Genomic DNA, 22,093 nt, shown 5'->3' with positions numbered 1-22,093 from the left:
CCTCATGGTTGCACATTTCCTTCAGCTCTTGTTATTCCAGCTGAAGAAAGACCATTTGACATTCTGGAGATGGCTACATGCAAGCATTTAAAACCTTCGAGGGAATGCAGTGCACCAGGGAGACTATTATTATGACTATTGGGAGGATGATACCAAGAGTTTGGAGTGTGCTCCTTACCCAAGGTCCCCATAAACCAAACCTCTTAAAATCAAATAGATCAAAGGATCAGCTAGATAAAGAATTTACTCACTTGACTTAGCAATTTCTTTGTCAATCCTCTACCACTGAATTTCTGTAATCTTCATTTGACGTATTTTTCCATAGGCCACAAGTGCCAGCAGCTGCACAGATACTTCTCTGTTTAGCCAATTCTATCATAACTTTCACAAGGTAATTTAGAGTCTATTGTGTAACTATAGCCTTTACAGTAGAATTTGCTATAGAACCTATTGTGAGGGATATATTTCTAATCATTGCTTCTTTTTCTTTAAACCATGGAAAAAGGACCTAACAAATGATGCCTTTTTAGAAGAGTGAAGGCCTTCTGGCAATGTTCTCTTTAACCCATGATGTGGGTTAAGAGGAGTGAACCAATGTTTTGTTTTTGATTATGAGGCAAAGCATGTACCTTTAAAGTTTCTTACCTACATTGGGCCTTCATCTTTTATCTATCAAAGTATAAGTTTACCCATTTAAAAAGCTGGTTACAAACTCCTTCGCAAGTAAGAGTATACACCATAAGTGCACATAACAGACACCTTTTCCACTTCTATTTTTTTGTAGAGGCATAAGCAACAAAAAATATTCGAAGATAAGTTTCACGACAGTAGAAGTCTTAATCTGTGAACGTGAGAAAAGCTGTTCATAGTAAGGATGCCATTCTCCTCTTGGGAGAAATTTCTTTGGTTAATTTTACCTTAAGGGTTCCAGTGGGCACACAGCTCCAAGAGCTTGGAGGGACCCTTCTCAGTTGTGAGATTATGAACTCAAAGTTCAAGATCCCAAAGTTTTGTTGTAGTGTGAATGGCAAGAACAGTCTTTCTCTGATGCTTCTAGAAGATTCAAATCATAAAAAGCTTTCTTTGCCTGTTGAAAATACACTGTAGTAATCTACTGTTATAACATCAGCCCTCTTGCATAGGAAACCTTTTATACAACCAGAAAACATGCACTGAAAATAACAAATGAGCTCTCAAGCTTGGTGTTTGCTTGGTGGGGACCCACGTGGGTTCAACATGTGTATTGAGAAGTGTTATTTCTGTTCAGGGCCCATCTACCCTGGTCACGGCATGATGTTCGTCCACAACAATTGCAAGTTGTTCAGATTTTGTAAATCTAAATGTCATAAAAACTTTTAAAAGAAGTGCAGTCCTCGCAAAGCTAGGTGGATCAAAGCATTCCAGAATGCAGCTGGTAAAGAGCTTACAGTGGATAATTCATTTGAATTTGAAAAACGTAGAAATGAACCTATCAAATACCAGCGAGAGCTATGGAATAAAACTATTGATGCAATGAAGCAAATTGAAGAAATCAAACAGAAATGCCAAGCTAAATTTATAATGAACAGACTGAATAAAAATAAAGAGCTACAGAAAGTTCAGGATATCAAAGAAGTCAAGCAAAACATCCATCTTATTCAAGCCCCTCTTGCAGGCAAAGAGAAGCAGCTGGAAGAGAAAATGGTACAGCAGTTACAAGAGCATGTAGGCATGGAAAACACATCTTAAAAATCTCTGTAACCATTTCTTTTATGTACATTTGAAAATGTCCTTTACAGACTTGGAACTGCTAAATTATTAGTTTATTTTTTACATAAGGTCACTTAAATGAAAAGTGATTAAAACATATCTTTCCTACATTGACATCTGCAAAACATCAGATATTACGAATGTTAGATTGCATCTCAGTGTTAAATCTTCACTGATAGATGTACGTATGTAAATCATGAAAATTCTACTTCTAACTATAGAAGTGAATTGTGGATGTAAAATGGTTATGCTATTTGGATAATGGCACTAGGCAGCATTTGTATAACAACTAATGGCAAAAATTCATGGCTAGTGATGTATAAAATAAAATATTCTTTGCAATAAAATATTCCGTTTATTAACGTTACAGAAGGGGGGATACAACAAGGAACTAACAATTTGTATAACAGTGTCAAATGTTATTTTGATTTTAGTATTTCCTGTTTTGGTTTATTTGTATCTTAGAAGAGCACAATGACATTGTTTGATGAAGCCTAATTATTCTGGACTGTTTTGACCTGGTTTAACCCTTCTGATAGGTAGTTGTGGATATTGGGGATGAGAACTGAATAATCTTTGCCTGGAGTGACACTACACTCTAGAATTTCCATTTTGGAGAATACTCAGTTCTAACTTGTGACTGCTGGTAGAACAAACTTTATTTTTCTAGCCTAGCAATGTTCTAGAAGCAGAGGAATCCCAGTGCCTTTTAAAAGTTATTATATGGTTTTCTTTTAAAAAGCTCCTGTTTTTGGAAAGTAGAATTTATGAGTATAACATCTGTTCATTATTTGCACATAAAATGAAACCATTTAAAAAGAAAAAATAAACAGAAAAAGAAAATAACAAATGAATAAAATTCCTTTATAAAATGTTTAAATGGGCGACCACGTGACCAAACATATCTGAAGCTTTGTTTTCCCAGGAATATGGCATCAAGCATTGGTTATAAACTATTTTAAACAATTTCAGTATTAGCTGGTTTAACATGAAATTATTTTCTTGATATTTAATTAAGTTTTTGTTTTACTTGGGTTAGTAGCTTTATACAAGAAAATTTGGTTGTTTCTGCAGTTTACAATAACTTAACATAACTATAATTAATAGCTTATACTATTTTAGAAATCCCATACAATTTTGAAATATATATTAGTATTATTCACAAAAATATAGCCTAAAGAAGATTGAGCATCATTTTGGCAATCCCATGTACCTAAACGTGTCAAATAATCCTGTTTACCTGTCTTTTCTGGACACTTCAGGGGCCCGCTGAAGTATTCAAAAAGCCAGGTGCCAGGGAAGAGATTTTTGAAACCGATGTTTGATTTTGGGAATTCCAGATTGCTATAAGTTATTTATTTTGCCAAAACGATGACTCAGAAATTTTAAAGAAGCAAAGACCTTTTATAACCCTTTTGTATTTAGTCAACATGTTCACACAGAGAACCTCTTCCGTTAAAAAAAAAAAAAGTAAAACATTCACATGCTTTCAAAAGTTAAAGGTATAACAAAAGGTAAACTCAGAGAAGTGGCGTCCCATGTCCCTTACACTCCATTTCCCCCAAGTCTCTTACCACCATTTTAGGTAGCCAGATTCACTGTTTTCTGGTTTATCTTCACTATGTTTTCTTTTCAGAAAGAAAAACAGGTATGTGTATGTTTTCTTAATTCCCCTTCCTTCTTGAAAAAAGGTAGCCTACTATAATATTCATCTGCACTTTCTTTACTTAACACTATCTCCTAGAAATTATATCTTTTTTGTAGCCCCATAGCGCTTCCTCTTTGAGTCCATGTTACAGTTTATTCAACCAATCTCTTATGCCTGGACATTTAAAGTTAGTTAAAATGCTTCTAGAAGGTAAGCAGACAAAATAAAGATTATTGGTCTTCTGAGTTTGCCCATGGAATTCTGATTCACAAAATGCTTTAAATGTACCCCTATGTTTTCTACCATTTACATTTTTTAAAAAAATCTATCCAAGTAGAATCAACCATTTTACACTTAACTTCATTGTTGCTTCTCTTTCTCATAACATTCCATGTGTCTAGTTTCTGTAAGTATGGAAGGAGGAGGGTATAAATGATGTCTTTTGGCCATCGTAACAGATAGCTTTAGAGAAGAATTCACAGTACACGAAATGAATTTAATAAATCATGCATAGAGATGAACAAAAGAGCAAAAGAAGCAGGAGGCTCCCGTAGAAGCAAAAAGACAATAACGATTTACAATAACCAATGGTCTCAGGCAAAAGTCAGTAACAGTGTTTTGCCTTCGAGTGCAAGAAAATATAAAATTATATTCAACCTCAGTGTATTTTCTATTCACTGGAAGATAGGTAATTTGTTGGAAGTAAACATGAGAATTGTCACCTCCTCTTCCCAAGTAAGATATGCCTTTCCAAATAAGATATGAGTAAGAAAGGAGTTACGCAAACATTTGGAGAAAGGAGAAGGAACATGCTGAAGACATATCTAAAAGTGAGATACAGCCTCTGAAAGGACTTTTAAGAGAGAGAGAGCGAGAGAGAGAGAGAGATATAATATATATAATATATATTTAGAGGCCATCTTCTCCCCACAACTGTGGAAGGTAATTCCTCAAGAAGGGGGGGGGGAAAAAAAAAAAAAAAAGCACCCTTCTTTAGCAGAGGATGGTTTAGATCCATCGACCTCTGGGTTATGGGCCCAGCACGCTTCCGCTGCGCCACTCTGCTAACGGAAAACACGCTTCTACTCTTCTTATTTATCATGCAGGTGATCAGCCATTTTGTTGTTGTTGTTGTTGTTGTTGTTACACTGTTTTGCCTCTTTCTGTTTTTCTTTCACTGTTTCTTTCCCGGTTTTTCTTTTTTCCTCTTGGCCTCTTAAGATCAGCTCACTCTAGAACCAGTTGATTCCAACAATCCCCTTCAAGTTGCGAGTTGCCCTTTCCAAATCTACCAAACATGCTTCAAAACCTGACATTTCTTTCTTTAAGAGCTGCTTTGGGCTCAGGAGCAGAAACAGGAGAAAAGTCAAGCAAAGCCCTCAGAAGCCCTTAGAGAGAATCGAGGAAGGCATTAAGTCAGACTACTCTCCTTAGAGAGAAAGTATATTAGCCAGTTCGCTTGTTTCCTGTCCCCAATAAAATTTCTTTCCCAACACTAGAAGTATTTTTGCGTATTGACCTAGAAGTATTTTTGCATATTGACCTAACGCCTTTTGCAGCTTTCCGGGCGCCTGGTGTACCCACGCAGCCCCACCTTATCCCCACCCCTATCCCTGCCGTTGAATTCATAAAAAGGGGCTTCCTACCCTAACCCTTTGGTGTTATGTCTGCGGACAGCTTTCACTTTCAGCGAATGTGGGCTTTCCCAGCCAAGGGCCCAAACAGAGACCTTTGATACTCCTTCATCCTGTGCTATGTCAAGAAAGTCCCTTCTGAAACTTTTATTTTGCTCTTTTCACCAACTTGCTTTTCCCGTTTTCTCAGAGTTTCTCTGTCTTCAGGAAAGCCTTGTGTTTCCAGTTCCAGGTCAGGCATAGGATTGGTGGCCATTACTCTCCACCAATTTCATTTACGTTTTCTTTCTTTTTTTTTTTTTTTCCTTTTCTAAAAAGACAGGGTGAGACACTGAGGCAGATATACTGGGGTTAGGAAGATATCCCAGAATAAGAGCATGAGAAAGCAGGCTGGAATGGTTCATGTGGACAAGATGAGTCCTAAGCAAAACTGAACCAGGTCCCACCAGGACCTGACGTGGGGCCACTAGATTTGGAGCCATGGGTATTAACTATCACAGCAGGGAGCCCCAACCCCTGGGCCACTGACCCGGTACTGGTCAGTGGTAGTGGCAGCCTGTTAGAAACCGGACCACACAGCAGAAGGTGAGCAGCAGGAGAGCCAGTGAAGCTTCATCTGTATTTATAGCTGCTCCCCATCACTCTCATTACCGCCTGAACTCCACCTCCTGTCAGATCATCTGAGGCATTAGATTCTTATAGGAGTTCTAACCCAATTGTAAACTGCCCATTTGAGGGATCTATGTTGCCCACTCTTTATGAGAATCTAATGCCTGATGATCTGTCACTGTTTCCCATAACCTCCTGATGGGACCATCTAGTTGTAGGAAAACAAGCTCAGGGCTCCGTCTGATTCTACATTATGGTGAGTTGTATAATTATTATATATCACAATGTAATAATAGAAATAAAGTGCACAATAAATGTAATGCATTTGAATCATCCTGAAACCATTCCCCTCTCCCCCAACCCCTGTCCATGGAAAAACTGTCTTCCATGAAACCAGTCCCTGGTGCCAAAAAGGTCTGGGACCGAGGCATCACAGCACTGAATTGCTGCTTACACTACAGGTGTTGCCAGAGGGCTCAGAAGGGTTTCCAGAAGCCAGTGAGACCCCAGCCCCAGCCCCAGCCAGTTTCCAGGTTCTTGACACCTTCGTAAGAAAGAATTCAGGGAGGAGTCAGAATGAAGCCAAAGGCAAGAAGCTTTTATTGCTAAGCAAAAGTACACACTTAGGGAAGTGTGGGTGAGCTCATGAGAATGAGTCGTGCCCAACAGAGTTTGAGTTTTCTATTTTTATGGGCTCTTGTAATTAGAGGGTGGACTAATCATGAGGTTTTCTGGGGGAAAGGCGAAGGTTTCATAAAATTGAGATGCCACCCATTTTTATATTAAATATGGGCGTACTCGATCTGTCAGGGCGCTGGTGGGTGTGTAATTTCGTATGGTAATTAGCATATAATTAGGTCTTGGGTAGGGCATGGGTCAAATCCAGCGCCATGTTGGACCCAGACGGTTTCAGACAGCTTAGCCACCATCCTGTTTGTTAGGGTCTTATCAGCCCAAGTTCTTTCTTGTCCTTGTAGCTAATTTTAACAGCTCCTTTTTTGCTGTTATGTGAAATTACTGCTTGATGTTTCTCCTATGACTACCCAGCATTCCTATCAAATAGAGATGAGATTTATCACCTTCCTTGTTCCCCTGGCCCTCTCACTCCACTAGCATGAACCCTTCAGTGACTCAGGTGCCTGATCTCAGCCTCTTTCAGAAAATAATCTGAGTGGAAAAACATTTTTATAGCCGCAAGCCAGGACTCCTCCCCTCCCCTCCACCAAATGCCCTATTTTCCTCTCAAAGGGGTTTAGGTCTGTGTTGCATGGGCCTTCTCTGTGGGGAAAAGCAAGAGAGATCAGATTGTTACTGTGTCTGTGTAGAAAGAAGTAGACATAGGAGACTCCATTTTGTTCTGTACTAAGACAAATTCTTCTGCCTTGAGATTCTGTTAATCTATGAACTTACTCCCAACCCCGTGCTCTCTGAAACATGTGCTGTGTCAAACTCAGGGTTAAATGGATTAAGGGCGGTGCAAGATGTGCTTTGTTAAACAGATGCTTGAAGGCAGCATGCTCGTTAAGCGTCATCACCACTCCCTAATCTCAAGTACCCAGGGACACAAACACTGCAGAAGGCCGCAGGGACCTCTGCCTAGGAAAGCCAGGTATTGTCCAAGGTTTCTCCCCATGTGATAGTCTGAAATATGGCCTCTTGGGAAGGGAAAGACCTGACCGTCCCCCAGCCCGACACCTGTAAAGGGTCTGTGCTGAGGAGGATTAGTATAAGAGGAAGGCATGCCTCTTGCAGTTGAGACAAGAGCAAGGCATCTGTCTCCTGTCCGTCCCTGGGCAATGGAATGTCTCGGTATAAAACCCGATTGTACGTTCCATCTACTGAGATAGGGAAAAACCGCGTTAGGGCTGGAGGTGGGACATGCGGGCAGCAATACTGCTTTGTAAAGCATTGAGATGTTTATGTGTATGCATATCTAAAAGCACAGCACTTAATCCTTTACCTTGTCTATGATGCAAAGACCTTTGTTCACGTGTTTGTCTGCTGACCCTCTCCCCACAATTGTCTTGTGACCCTGACACATCCCCCTCTCGGAGAAACACCCACGAATGATCAATAAATACTAAGGGAACTCAGAGGCTGGTGGGATCCTCCATATGCTGAACGCTGGTCCCCCGGGTCCCCTTATTTCTTTCTCTATACTTTGTCTCTGTGTCTTTTTCTTTTCCAAGTCTCTCGTTCCACCTTACGAGAAACACCCACAGGTGTGGAGGGGCAACCCACCCCTTCATTCTCTCTTCACTAGAAAACCAGTGAGGAAGTGGAAGGAGGAGACTGAGCACCTGCCATGTAATATGCAGTGGTGTACCTCACTTAATGTGCAGCAGGAAGAGCCGCAGACAAAACCCCTCAGACACCGAGTTAAAGAAGGAAGGGGTTTATTTGGCCTGGAGCATCGGCAAGACTTCTGTCTCAAGAACCGAGCTCCCTGAGTGAGCAATTCCTGTCCCTTTTAAGGGCTCACAACTCTAAGGGGGTCCACATGAGAGGGTCGTGATCAACTGAGCAAGCAGGGGGTGCATGTTTGGGGGCTGCATGCACCAGTAATCAGAACGGAACAGAACAGGACAGGGATTTTTACAATGCTTTTCCATACAATGTCTGGAAACTATAGATAACATAACCAGTGTTAGGTCAGGGGTTAATCTTTAACTACCAGGCCCAGGGCGTGGCGCCGGGCTGTCTGCCTGTGGATTTCATTTCTGCTTTTTAGTTTTTACTTCTTCTTTCTTTGGAGGCAGAAATCGGGCATAAGACAATATGAGGGGTGGTCTCCTCCCTCATTCGCTCACCTCATTAAAAGTGATGAGGCTGTCTTTGTCTTACAGATGAGAAGACTGAGGCATAAATCTGTGACCCTTCACCTGTATGTTTCAATTTCATGTCTATGTTTATCAGGATGCTTTTTTGTTTGTTTGTTTTTGCAGAGGGTGGGGAACAGGGTCTTGCTCTGTCACCTAGGCTGCAGTGCAGTGGCACGATCATAACTCACTATAACCTTGACCTCCTGGGCTTAAGTGATCCTCCTACCTCAGCCTCCCCAGTAACTAGGACTACAGGCCCACACCACCACACCTGGCTAATTTTTTTATTATTATTTTTTGTGGAGATGAGGTCTCGCTAGGCATGAGCCACGAGACCTATTCCTCGTTTTTGAAAGGTAAAGGATCCGACACTTTAGAAGAAAGGTAAAGGAGGAATTTTTAGAGAAACCAGTTCAAGAGAAGCTGTTAATGGTACTTACAGGAAACATAAGTGTTTGAACGACAAGGCTGGAAAAGAATTAATGCACCATGGGACAATTATCATAACGAGAGTGGTAAGGAGATGGAATGGAGAGTTGGGGGGAAGGAGAAATCAGCAGTTTCCCAGATCTGGAATTACAACAGGGCCCCAAGTTCCCATCCCACCATCAGGAAAGATACCTGGTGAGAACCTCAAATAGACCTGCTGATGTTTCTTCAACACTGCCTTGCACGTCCCTTTCCTCGTGTTCATGTGGGGACCTGCAGGTCATTAAACTACAAATCAGTCTTACCTGCTTCATGAGGAGCTTTTTCCCAAGAGACATTTAGCAAAGAGCTTGGGCGATATCCTTAGCGCTGTAGTGGTGGACAGAGCTTTCCTCCGAGCAGTCTCATGGGCAGAGCTTTCCTCCAAGCAGTCGGAGAGCTTTCCTAAGCTCCTAACAGCTCCTAAAGGAGCTGTTAAAATTAGCTACAAGGACAAGGAAGAGCTTGGGCTGATAAGACCCTAATAAACAGGATGAGGGCTAAGCTGTCTGAAACCGTCTGAGTCCAACGTGGCGCTGGATTTGACCCATGCCCTACCCAAGACCTAATTATATGCTAATTACCAAACGAAATTACACACCTTCAGAGAGCTTTCCTCTGACTGCTTGGAGGAAGCTCTGCCCACCACAAATGCAACGAGTAACCCTGGCACCCAGTTGCGTTTCCGCGGCTTGCTAAAGGCCTGCTCTCCAAGGCTGCCAGGCCTTGCTGAGTTTGCACAAAGAAACGCGGCCCGCGGTAGCAGGCGTCCGGCTTCCTGGGGCGCGCCGCCTGGTGGAGACTGCGGGGAAGGAGCCACAGGAGCTGGTAACTCGACAGCTGATTCTTGTTTGCTGAAAAGGTGCTTTGAAAAGTGACTCTCACGTTAGCCTTTGGTTGCTGCTCTTCTTACACATCACGAGTAAGGCCCTCCTCCCCTCAGCGAAGACTCTACAAATCAAGAGGCCAGGATGAGGTTGGTTAAGGATTGGTTAGTGTCTGCATGACGGGTATAGGCCAGGAGGGAGGCTGAAAATGCACTGCGGGTCTATGGTCATACCACTCTGAACGCGCCCGATCTCGTCTGAAAATGCACCGCGGGAGATTCACAACTGTCAATACGTGGGACAGGATTGTAGCCGGCAGGTTCGAACCTATGCAGACAGGCTTAATTATATTTTCATCACCTTAAGCATCCAGAGGCTGCACCACATTGTCAGCTAATCACTTCATGTTGTGTTGTCTTGCCGGTTGTATCTGTTTTAAAGCTAAGTAAATTTAGGGATGGGGGTTGTTGTGGACTGAACTGTGTCCATCAAAATTCCTGTGCCAAACCCCTAATCTCAACGTGACTGTATTTGGAGATAGGGCATTTAAGGAGGTAATTAAGGTTGAATGAGGTCAAAACGGTGAGACCCCAATCCAAAAGGATGGGAGGGGGGAGACGGAGGAAGGAGCCTACTCTAATGACCTCATTTTAATTTAATCACCCCTATAAAGACTCTGTCACCAAACATGTTCACATTCTGATATATTGGGGGTTAGAACTTCAACATACGAATTTATGGGGGGCAGGGCAGGGGTACACACAGTTTAGCCCATCACAAACGTATACACTTTAAGGATTGTTATATCTTCCTGAAGAATTGACCCTTTTATTATTATATAATGCCACTCTTTATTCCTGGTAATTTTCCTTGCTCTGAAGTCTACATTGTCTGAAATTAAAATTACTCCAAGCTTTCTTTTGACTAATGTTAGCATAATATGCCTTTTTCCATGCCCCATTACACTGTGGCTTGTGTTTCCCTAATCATGTAGCTGAAAGTCCCACAACCCAAGATCCCTCTCCAGGAATCAATGTGCAGTTCTGAAAGATATGCACGCCTCCCACTGTTCCTTCATAGTGAATGACCATAATAAACACCAGTGCAGCAGCCTAAGTTGTGTACCGTCAGGTCATCCACCTCCAGAGAAAAGAACCAAAGCCCTTAGTACATGGCACTGGCTGAGCTCCCATGCAAAAGCCACTTCCACTTTGCTAACCACACAAGTGAGCCAGCTTAAAAGTGGATTCCCCAGCTGACACCCTGTGGAGAAAAGACCAGCCGACTCTGCCCAAACTGCAAATCGGGGAGCAAAATGAAGTTATTATTGTTTTAAGCCACTATGGTCTTGGTGGTTTGTAATGCAGCAATATATAAATGGAGAAATAAAAAACAATAGTGAGAGGGCAACATTTTTTCCATCCTTTTTGGGGGTAGGGGAATTAAGTACTCAGTTTCAAATATGCTCAAGTAGAGATGTTTGAGTAGGATAATAGGATATTGCAATGCCTAACCTTGTATTTACTAAACCTATTTTTTGGATTTTCCCTTTTTGTCTCTTTAATTACCTAGCCTTGTTTCCCATATGAATAGACTCTCACTTAGCTGGGAAAGCCAGAGGAACTCCATCTGGCCCCTTGATTTACAAGACATTAAGGGGTCCTTACCCAACCCGCTTCCTCAAGCAGTTAACCTGTGTAAGCAGATCCTCAGCATTTCAAAGGAGCCCAATTAACTGACAAGGTACTGGAACAATGTATGAAGTTCCCAGGATTTTGCTCAAAAAAGATAACAACATAAAGCCTTGAGTCTGTGTCCGGCATAGCATCCATATCTAACTCTTATGAAGGATTTAGAGCCCCGCACCTGGTTCCGTTGCTTTTTTTGTAACCATTTGTCTTTTAAATTGTTTATTTCTCTGTAACTATTTGTTTTTTTTGATTCTTGCATGTTTCTACTTCTGTAGAATTATTGCATTTGAGCTCCCCTCCCCTTCCTAAACCAAGGTATAAAAATAAATCGAGCCCCTTCCTCGGGCCAGGAGAATTTTGGAGCGTCAAGCCCTCTCTTGGCCGCCGGCTTAAATAAAGGACTCTTAATTCGTCTCAAAGTGTGGTGTTTTCTCTAACTCGCTTGGGTATAACAATATAAGGAATAGCTTCAGGCAAGTTCTGCAGCTATGAGAGGAGATAGTATAAAACTGAAAGGCCAATAAGGAATTATATTGAGGTATTATATAGGAAACTGAGAGGGGCTAAAGGGCCAAGACAAACACTTGAAAAATGGCTTTTTTTTTTTTTTTTGAGACAGAGTCTCGCTCTGTCGCCCAGGCTGGAGTGCAATGGGGCTAATTTTTGTATTTTTAATACAGATGGGGTTTCACTACATTGGCTAGGCTGGTCTCAAACTCCTGACCTCGTGATCTGCCCGCCTCAGCCTCCCAAACCTGGGATTACAGGCATGAGCCACCGTGCCCAGCCCTGAAAAATGGCATCCTTTATTTTTTATTTTATTTATGTTTGTTTATTTATTTATTTATTTGAGATGGAGTATGCTGTGTCGCCCAGGCTGGAGTGCAGTGGCGCGATCTCTGCTCACTGCAAGCTCCACCTCCTGGGTTCACACCATTCTCCTGCCTCAGCCTCCCGAGTAGCTGGGACTACAGGCACCTGCTACCAGCCCTGCTAATTTTTTTTTTTTTTTCTATTTTTAGTAGAGACGAGGTTTCACCATGTTAGCCAGGATGGTCTCGATCTCCTGACCTTGTGATCCGCCCACCTCGGCCTCCCAAAGTGCTGGGATTACAGGAATGAGCCACCGCGCCTGGCCAAAAATGGCATCTTTTAAAGCTTGGGGTTGGCCTCACAGGTGGGAATTTATAAGGAGAAAAGGGTTTGGTGTTATTGATGCCACGGGAAGTGTTTTAGGAAGTGTAAATATCAAGAAGGGAAGTAAAATGAAGACCAAAGGATATCAAATGGATTCAAAAATGAGGTCATTAGCAAAAATCATCACTATGTGGACCATCAGGAATGGAGCCAGAATGTTTCCACCCGCTGCATCCTGGGCTAGAGTCTTATCAATTGCTTGAGTCAGGTGAGACAGCACATACTCACACACCACAAGTTATATAAATCAGTTTATTACTTACAGATAGGCAGAAAGAGACAACAGAAGACTAAGATTCATAACAAGCTAGTCCCCCAAGGCTTAAGAAAGTTTCTGGGGAGGATGGAGTCTCAACTGTACATTCCCCACTATACTGCAGCTAGAATCCCTGAAAGGTAGCCCACTGTGGGTTATATACCTGAGTAGCAATGGAATGCACTGGGCAAAGGTTTGAAGGACATCCTTGTAAAGGAGACAGGAACAAAGTAAGCACTGTCCAGGACAGTTCTTCCCTATCTCAGTATATTGCATTTCCAGCACATCCTACAGTATTCTGAGAACTACAGACAAGGAGAGGGGAGGAACTGGATCACTGGCAGGGCACTTCTCATCCAAGTAATGAAAGGAGTGTGGTGCATCCAAATACCAGCTCTCTATGGCTTTGTTATTTGTGGTTGTGATATTTTGCCACCTTAAACCAATTAAACTAAAACAGGGCACCTTCAGCTCCCTCCAATGTGATGGGTATCAGATCCTCACATGGTAAGCCAGGGTTGGAGTTCTGTTAGTGTACACTGTGCCATTAGAAATGCTGGCATACTTGACCACTGGCAGGACATGGAGTCACTCTGGTTGTTCACAGATTGAGGTCCAGGATGGCAATCCAACTTTTCACCAGGTTTCCCACAGCGGGCACAGCTTGAGAAAGGCTAACAAAGGCATTATGCTTCCAGGCCTCTGCTGCCATGCTCCACAGAAAGAACAAAGTGACAGATTGGTGCCTCACTCCCCATCCCCAGAACACTGCCAGCCAAACTGTGAGTAACTCAGCCCATTGGGCACTGTGACCTCCTCCACTGTCAGTGATAATGTCCCCTGTTTTCATGTTGACAGTGGCTGCAGCCCATTTTACCCCTCAAGGCTTCAGCTTTGCTGAGCTATCTGTGAACTAGCAGAAGATGTCAGAGTCTGCATCCTGTAATCATGGTCCCCATTTGGCTATGGGGATTCCTAGGTGGTGTAGGCACCATTCCACCTGCCAGAGAGCTGGCCATTTTTACTTGTAGCTTGCTTACTACCTCTTCTCCTAATCAGGCTCAGTCTTGAATATACTACTTCCATCTGATGATGCCTCTTTGCTAGGCTAACCCCGTTCTAATATCTAGGCTGCCTGTTAACCCAGGACAAGATGGGGACTTGTGGTTGGAGTACAACCTTAGTGTACTGGGTCAGCCTTTCAGTTTCCACTAAGGTCCAATAAGCTAAAAACTGCTTTTCAAAAGGGGTGTAGGGAGTGGTTAATCCAGAACCCTAAAGGCCTTTAAACCCCAGTGGCCTCTTCTTTTTGCCAAAGGCTGCAGTCTGCATCATTTCCTAACACAGAGACTTGTCATTCAAATGGAGAGGTGTGCTCTAACTGCCCCAGGGCCATGGCCTGCCTAATGGCTTGTTGTAAAACCTAGAGTGCCTCATCCTCCCTGGGCCCTCAATGCAAAGTAGCAGCTTTCCTAGGTATCTGGTGGAGTGAAGCCAACAGAATGAACAGGTAAGGTATGTGTTGTTTCCAATACCCAAAAAGTCCACCAGTCAGGTGTTGGGCCTCCTTTTTCATAGTCGGCCAGTTAATGGTAACAGATTTTGATGGGCAGATCTGGAATCTAGTACTGAGCTCTAGCCCAGGTAGATCCTAAAAAGGTCACCAGTTTGGCTGATCCCAGGACTGTTAGGGTTAACTTCCCAGTCTGCTTGTCACGTCCCTGTGACCATCAAGTCCAAGGCCTCTTGTGTGATCGGATCATCAAGGGCCACAATAAGGATGTCACCTATGTAATGAATGCACATGACCACTTTAGGCAAAAGCACAGTGGCGAAATCCCATCCTACCCACTGGTGGCATATGGCAGGTGAGTTCAAATACTCCTGTGGCAGCACTGTAAATGTATATTGTATACTTTGCCATGTGAATACAAATTGATCTCTGCCCTTATCCCTCAAAGGGATTGAGAAGAATCCATTAGCCAGATCAATAACTGCATCATACCATTGGTTGGAAGCCTCCATGATGTGTTCAATTACTGTGGTGATATCTGGGCCACGAGTGTCAATAGGTCTACTACAGCATTTAGCTCTCAATAGTTAATTGTCAGACTCCAGGCTCCACTGGCTTTCTTAACAGGCTAAACCAGACTGTTAAAAGTGGAACCGGTTGCCCGCACACTTCTGCTTGAACTGAATATTGGATGAGGAGTGTGATGTCCTTCTTTCCCTCAGGGATATTATATTGTCTTTATTGTACCCTCTTCTAAGGTTTGGGGTGACATGGTGGTGCTTGCCTCTGGACTTACCTTACTGTGATGGCTAAAATGTTTCTTTTAGTTGGGGCATAGCCCAGTAAGCACCATGAAGTTGTGCACTGCATTAGGTCAATCCCTATAATACGCTCAGCCAATGGAAACCCAACCACCAGCCTGTCATAGCTGCTAAATGGCCACACTCATAAGTGAGAAAGCACCTCCCTACCTAGCATTTCCTTAATTCTCCACCCTACAAAATTCCAGAATCCACCTGGAATTCATGCCATTCTTCAGGGCCAGGAACTACAGTGGCTTGGGCCTCAGTGTCTAGCAGTTCCATGTAAATTAAAATCTGCCTCCATGTCCACTCTAACAGGTACATAATGCCTCCAGTCTCAGGGCAGGGTCAGAGGGCCAGGCTGAGGCCAGTGGAGACCTTGGTTCCACACCTGTTTCAGTTTAAAAAGGTGTGGGTACAGAGAACTTGTGTTAGGGCCAGGGAAGATGACTCTCCCAGAGAGGCTAAAGGGGGTGCCAATGTTTCCACTTGTCTATAGACTTCCCTTTCCCAGTACTCCTCCTGCATGGTTGGCACCTGTTGATTCTGTGAACTGCAAGGGCCTCCCTCTGATTGGTTCTGATAGCATGTATCAGATGGGGGGAGGCCATCAATCTCTTATTTAGGAACCCCCTGCTGCGTCAGTCAGATCCACAGTCTGTGGAGTGGGGGCACTTGGAGGCTGCCCCACTACCAGCCCTTGGATTGCCCCCTCCCAAGTTAGCCTTTTGTATTTAATTGTCAGATTAAATTTGTCAAATTTGACCCCCATTCTGCTGCCAGGCTAGCAGAGTACGATACAGCTTTTCGATGGCCTTGCCAAAGGCTATTCCAAGGGGAAGAAATAAAATCAATTGATTATGCCAGGGCCAAGGGCCCTGCTCTATGAAGTCATCAATATTGCATCTAAACAGTATTGTATCATCCAATTCCCCCTTCTGGAGGTTGGATAGCCATGAGCCCGGGGCCACCCTGCACAAGGCTGTGCCAGCCTCATGTCCTGACTGCCAAGGGCACAATGGAAGCTTAGGCAAACCACCCTGGATGGGAAAAGAGCCTAGAATGCTAGACACCAACCAAATAAGTAAAGATTCCAGCTTGTGGGCGTGGTGATCTACACCTGTAGCTTGTTGGATCACCCTGAACATCTGCTGCAACACTGGGTTGTGAGCCAATCTACCCAGGCTGTGCCATTCTTTTCATGACAGCAGAATGTTCTGTCACTCCTCATCAACTACCTGAGATAGCCAAGAAAACATGTCTTCTCTTGGTTTTTGCCCATAGCTGTCCTTGAGATCACTAATTTGTCTTTCTGTGAAGGAGAGCATTTTGATGGTTTCTTGCTGAGCTACCCCAACATTCTTGCACTGCTGGGTAAAGACGGGCTGCATCATGCACATTTATTCCTTCTTAAGTGCCTCAGAGACTTTTCTTATAACCTCTTGGGTGTCTTAGCGTCTGAGTGTCCATTTCCCAAGATCTCCATCCTGGGGAATGAGCAATCACATATGTGTCCCAAAGCTAGGGGACAGAGTTTCACACTCCTCTGTTTCCACATTCCTTTCTCTCTGCCTCAATCCATGCAGCCAGCTCATTCACATCTGTGGGGAGGTGACATATGTCCCACTTATCATTCCTCCTTCCCCATAAAACATCCTGCAGCATGTCTGGCTCCTGCACCCCCAGACTGACCTCTCTTCCCTGGACTGGGTACTGAAGGACATTGCCCCTCCCTCTTAGCCCATAAGTCATGGTTCTGTCAGACCAGACTGTGCTGCTATACCAATTTTATGAAGCAGGATCACTAATTACCAATCCCAAAGGAGAACTCTCACTGAGGGAAGAATAGCAAAAATCATTACTATGCTAACCACCAGGAATCAGAACATTTCCACCCACAGCATCCTGGGCTGCAGTTTTACTATTTGCCTCAGTCAGATGAGACAGAATACATTCACATGCCACAAGTTATATGAATCAGGTTTATTGTTCACAGATAGGCAGTAAGAGACAACAGAAGCCTAAGATGCACAGCAAGCCAGTCCCCCAAGGTTCAAGAAAACTGTCAGGGTGGATGGAGTCTCCACTGCATGGTCCTCATTTGTACCACAGCTAAGGGACCCTGAAAGGTAACCCACCCTGGGTTATATACCTCAGGGGCAACAGGATATGCTGGGCAAAGCTTTGAAGGACATCTTTTTAGGGAAGGCAATCCAGGGCCCTATCTCAGCTTCTGTCCCCTTGGTCTCCAATGCCAGGAGTGAGGACGCAGAAGGGACTCCATGGGGAAGGAGAGATTGGGGAGGCAATTTCTCCTCTCCCCACCCTCTTTCTCACCCCTTGTACATTAAACTGCTCTTTGCCCCCATGCTGGGGGGCACTTGGAGGCATTCTCCGGGAAAGAGTTTTTAGCTTGAACTTTAAAGACCTGAGTGGATCAGAAAGAAGGACCCTGTACTTCTGTCCTTAATCAGATGAGGGCCAGGCAAGTGAGAACCTTATATTCAGGCATGGCCTGGAGGACCGAACCCACGGAATGATAATGGCGCAAAGTACCACGAAATAGCGTAGGAAAAGTCTCTCTGACTGCACCCTGGGGTTTCATTTCTGCAAACAGATGACTGGGCCCCTGTTCATCCCCAACCTCACTGGGAGATTAGGCCTAAGAGGAGGGTATAACACCACTTGCACATGTCCTTGTTGACAGCTCTCACATACTGGAGCAGCTGCGAGTCAATGGGTGTCTGATTTCTGAATATGATTTATCCAAATTCACTCACATTTCAGATGTGGATTTATTTTCCAAGGGAATGTTGAGATTGCCACCATTAAAGGAAACTCAGTTACTTGCCTAAAGTGACAAAGACCTTCTTGACCCAACTCTAGTCAGCCTCCTTTATAAGTACTGAAAGCCCAGACCTTGGGTTTTTTCTTTGGTTCACTTATTCTAGTTTTAGCAAGAATCCTGCTAAGTTTAATGAAAATTCTCCACCCTTGGTCTGATCACCCTCGATATTTTACCAAATTCCTTATGTCTCACCTTGATATCTTATTACCCTGGCCTCCTGGTCTGTCTTTTGTGTGTGTGTGTGTGTGTGTGTGTGTGTGTGTGTGTGCGCGCGCGCGCGCGTGCGTGTTGTTGATTGTTTGTTTGGTTTTGAGACGGAGTTTTGCTCTTGTTGCCCAGGCTGGAGTGCAATGGAGCAATCTCAGCTCACCGCAACCTCTGCCTCCCAGGTTCAAGCGACTCTCCTGCCTCAGCCTCTCGAGGAGCTGGGATTACAGGCATGCGCCACCACGCCTGGCTAATTTTGTATTTTTAGTAGAGACGCGGGTTCTCCATGTTGGTCAGGCTGGTTTCGAACTCACGACCTCAAGTGATCCACCCACCTCGGCCTCCCAAAGTGCTGGGATTACAGGCGTGAGCCACCGAGCCCGGCCTTCCTGGCCTGTCTTTAGCAAAAAAAAAAAAAAAAAAAAAAAAAAAAAAAAAAAAAAAAAAAAAAATTATATATATACTGTTACATCAGTTTAGCAAAGAACTACCCTACTTCTTAGTAATTTTTCAGCCATTAACCCCCGCGCTGATCCTTTGCTGTAAAGCTCCACTTGTTCTTTTGTATTTGGAGTTGAGCCCAATCTCCCCTACTGCAAAACTCCATTATAGTAGTCCCCTTGAATAAAATCTGCCTTACCATGTTTAGCTAGTGTCATGAATAATTTTTTCTTTAACTAAAAAACACAACAGAACAGCACAAATCAATACTAATAAATGAAAAAACACTAAAGAAAAAAGGTATAATCTAATTGGCTTACAGTAATGGATAGTTGAAATAATATGAATTGATGGCATATAACCAATTAGTAATAAAAAGTAAATTAATTTTATTTCAGATATGCTCTAAATTCCAAAAAAAGCATAGGAGAAGGAAGAGACTTCTTATCTGGATACAAATATTTTAATGTAACCAAATAACTAAATTTTATAAAACAAGTATGAAATTTAACCTAATTTATGAGTAAAAACATATGCCAAAAAGAGTAAACTGGGATGCATCAATCTCCTGAGAATTTGAGACACAAATAGTTTTAAACACATATGAAAATGGGTACTTCTAATAACAAATAAGTAATAAAGGAATGTGACTTTTAGAAATAAGTCCATTTAAATACCATCTGTGAACAATAAATTCTTCAAACTCTTTCAGAGCTGCCGGTGGCTGGAGCCCTGTCCTCCGAATGGATGAGAGGCAGCTACCCGCCAAGGCTTCAGGTGACATCACAAGAAATGGCGCGGATCCTTATTGCCCTGTGCCTTGGCTTCCGCATCAGCGAACTCCGCCTTCGGTCTTCCAGGCGGCCCGTACTGCTTAGTCGGTAGCAGTGGCCCCACCAGCCCAGCCCCACAGTCCCTGGGTCTCCAGTCTTTCGCTCCTAACAACCCTATCTGCGCTGTGGCGCTCGGGCCCAACTCCTCACCCGGATGCAGTGGGTTAGGGGTTGGGGGAACAGACTGACTTGAGCTCGGAGTCCTGAGCCCACACCTTCCAGGCCAGGGTCAGTCCAAGGCAGTCCAAGTTTGGAGATCCAGTCCCTTCTCCGTTTCCAGATCTGCGAAATTCAGTAAAGCTATACCCAGGTGACCAGTACGGGCCACGCTGCACTGAGAATGCAGAGAATCATGAGAGCCACTCTCCTTCCTCGCGCCCAGATCCCAACAGCCACCAGAACACTGCGGATCCCACTCTCTGCTCCCCAACGAGTTACCTTGGCAAGTCAAGACCCCAGCCATTGTCGTCACCAGGGGAGAGAGGCAGAGGGAGATTTGGCTACAAAAAAAAAAGAAGACAATGTGATCTTGAATCAGGATGCTACGCTGGTGACTTTGAAAACGGGAGGAGGAGGCCGGGCGCGGTGCCTCACGCCTGTAATCCCAGCACTTTGGGAGGCCGAGGCGGGCTGATCACGAGGTCAGGAGATCGAGACCATCCTGGCTAGTACGGTGAAACCCCGTCTTTACTAAAAGTACAAAAAATTAGCCGAGCGTGGTGGCGGGTGCCTGTAATCCCAGCTACGGGAGGCTGAGGCAGGAGAATGGCGTGAACCCGGGAGGCGGAGCTTGCAGTGAGCCGAGATGGCGCCACTGCACTCCAGCCTGGGTGACAGAGCGAGACTCTGTCTCAAAAAAAAAAAAAAGAAAAAAAAGAAAAGAAAAGAAAAGAAAAGAAAAGAAAAGAAAGAAAGAAAATGGGAGGGGGAGCTATGAGCCAAGGAATGTCCCTGTAGAACCTGGGAAGGCCAAGGAAAGCTGCTTCTCCTCTGGTGCTTCTGGAGGGTGTCAGACACCCTGTTTGACATTTTCATTTTGGTCCACCGAAACTGATTGCAGATTTCTGACCCCTAGACCTGTAAGGGAATAAAGACATATTGTTTTAAGCACCAGACCTGGGTTTAAGAGAGCTTGAGTTGAGTTTAGTGAAACAAATTACCCAAGCTGAAGTAGAGAGCGAGAGAGGGAGAGAGAGAGACCCATAAGGAGATATTTCTGCCCAGTTTCCATTTCGCGTGGGTGGCACACGTGACAACCACTGCATTACAAAAACCACCGTTCACCCAGGAGCTATCTTTAAAATTTAAAATGGACATTTCCTGAATGGCTCACGTTCAGTATTGTGAAATTATTGTTTCTTTTAGAGCATTTTCATATTTGTGGCCCTTTTTTTCTTTCCTTATATATTCCATTCACCAAAACCAACAATACCCAAAATCCATGATTCAAGACCAAGGAAGGCTTTCGCCCAGTGACCCACATCCTCATAAATACCATGTCATCATGTCAGGAAATTTCAGGCAGAATAAGGAGGAATTTTATTTCAAGACCATTGTCCATACTGTGCTATGCCTTTTTCTGTATCCTTCCAACACACCCAAACATTAACCTCTTGATTACAGAAAAAAAGACTTTTTAGAAACCAGGACCCCAAGGGAGGGGCTTTGGCGACATTTAGCATTTTCTGTCAAGGAAACGCTTTGCCATAAGAAACTGTGGAGTGAGGTGGGGTCAGGGGGCCACCTGTGACCAATTATCTTCCTGGCCAGCAAGAGGGCAGGGGACTGAGTGTAATCAGGTGTCTTCCAAGAGGTGGCAAGTGTGCCAATCAGATAATTTAACTTAGTTTCTTCCCCTCTTCACACAATTTGCCACCATTCCCTCTGGCATTAGTCATTCAGCTACTGCCTCACCCACTGTATTTTGTGTAACTCTGTAATTTTAATTTTGGTATTGTACTATACATCCTGATATACATTTTGTTTCTTAGATTTTACTTTGCACTGAAAAATCCACCTGTTTTTGGTATACATGTACCTCTGCTTCATTAGTTGTGACTCCTGCAGAGCATGAAACTTCACACAAACTTGTATTCACTGCAGTACTTACTCATTCTGGTGATGGACATGCAGGTTGCCCCAACTCTCTGCTGCCTGAAATTGCTGCAATGACTGGATTCTATGAAGCCACTACAGAGCTAAGCTGGAATTTCACTGATAGACATTCGTAGAAGTGGGATTGCTGGGTACTCATCAAAAAGGCTATACAGAAATAAACACTTGTTTAATGCCCATACCGTGAAATCTAAGACCTAGATTGTTAAGATTAAGATCTTACCTTTATTTCATGTAGAAATTCATACTTGTAAGATTTTTAGTATGACAAATCAAAACACAGGAAGTACACCTAACTCACACTGGTCTCAGAAAAATTCCCAGGGGAAAGTGCCTTGAGGTAAAGCTAAAATAATGAGTAAACTTATGGTAAAGAACGAAGGATTTGGGAGAATCATCCAATTGAATGAAAATTAGACAGCATGAAATGTC

General features: G+C 43.6%; 1 long non-coding RNA gene and 1 pseudogene across 1 annotated transcript, besides 3 other annotated features; one reads left to right on the top strand and one right to left on the bottom strand.

Annotated features, from left to right (window-relative positions):
- RSL24D1P1 (ribosomal L24 domain containing 1 pseudogene 1) lies at nucleotides 1,191–1,865 on the top strand (annotated as a pseudogene).
- Nucleotides 4,406–4,465: a silencer, noted in NCBI's record as "silent region_17039". NCBI's record gives its function as "represses an Ori minimal core promoter by ATAC-STARR-seq in GM12878 lymphoblastoid cells {active_cell/tissue: GM12878}" and the evidence as "EXISTENCE:reporter gene assay evidence [ECO:0000049][PMID:35858748]".
- Nucleotides 10,690–11,329: an enhancer, noted in NCBI's record as "OCT4-NANOG hESC enhancer chr6:27738798-27739437 (GRCh37/hg19 assembly coordinates)". NCBI's record gives its function as "activates a minimal SCP1, AML or CMV promoter by ChIP-STARR-seq in naive and primed H9 embryonic stem cells {active_cell/tissue: H9 hESC(naive and primed)}" and the evidence as "EXISTENCE:reporter gene assay evidence [ECO:0000049][PMID:30033119]".
- Nucleotides 11,330–11,970: an enhancer, noted in NCBI's record as "OCT4-NANOG hESC enhancer chr6:27738157-27738797 (GRCh37/hg19 assembly coordinates)". NCBI's record gives its function as "activates a minimal SCP1, AML or CMV promoter by ChIP-STARR-seq in naive and primed H9 embryonic stem cells {active_cell/tissue: H9 hESC(naive and primed)}" and the evidence as "EXISTENCE:reporter gene assay evidence [ECO:0000049][PMID:30033119]".
- On the bottom strand, nucleotides 19,161–20,604 carry LOC100131289 (uncharacterized). The gene is made up of 3 exons (NR_038929.1): nucleotides 20,507–20,604; nucleotides 19,985–20,046; nucleotides 19,161–19,828 (listed from the first exon to the last, which is right to left on the bottom strand). It is a non-coding gene; the product is annotated as an uncharacterized LOC100131289 (long non-coding RNA).
- Nucleotides 20,605–22,093: the final 1,489 nt, after the last annotated feature.

Source organism: Homo sapiens, chromosome 6 (genome assembly GCF_000001405.40).
Source record: "Homo sapiens chromosome 6, GRCh38.p14 Primary Assembly".
NCBI classification, from domain to species: Eukaryota; Metazoa; Chordata; class Mammalia; order Primates; family Hominidae; genus Homo; species Homo sapiens.
The sequence above is the reverse complement of the archived record's forward strand: the minus strand, read 5'-3'. Positions and strand labels throughout refer to the sequence as shown.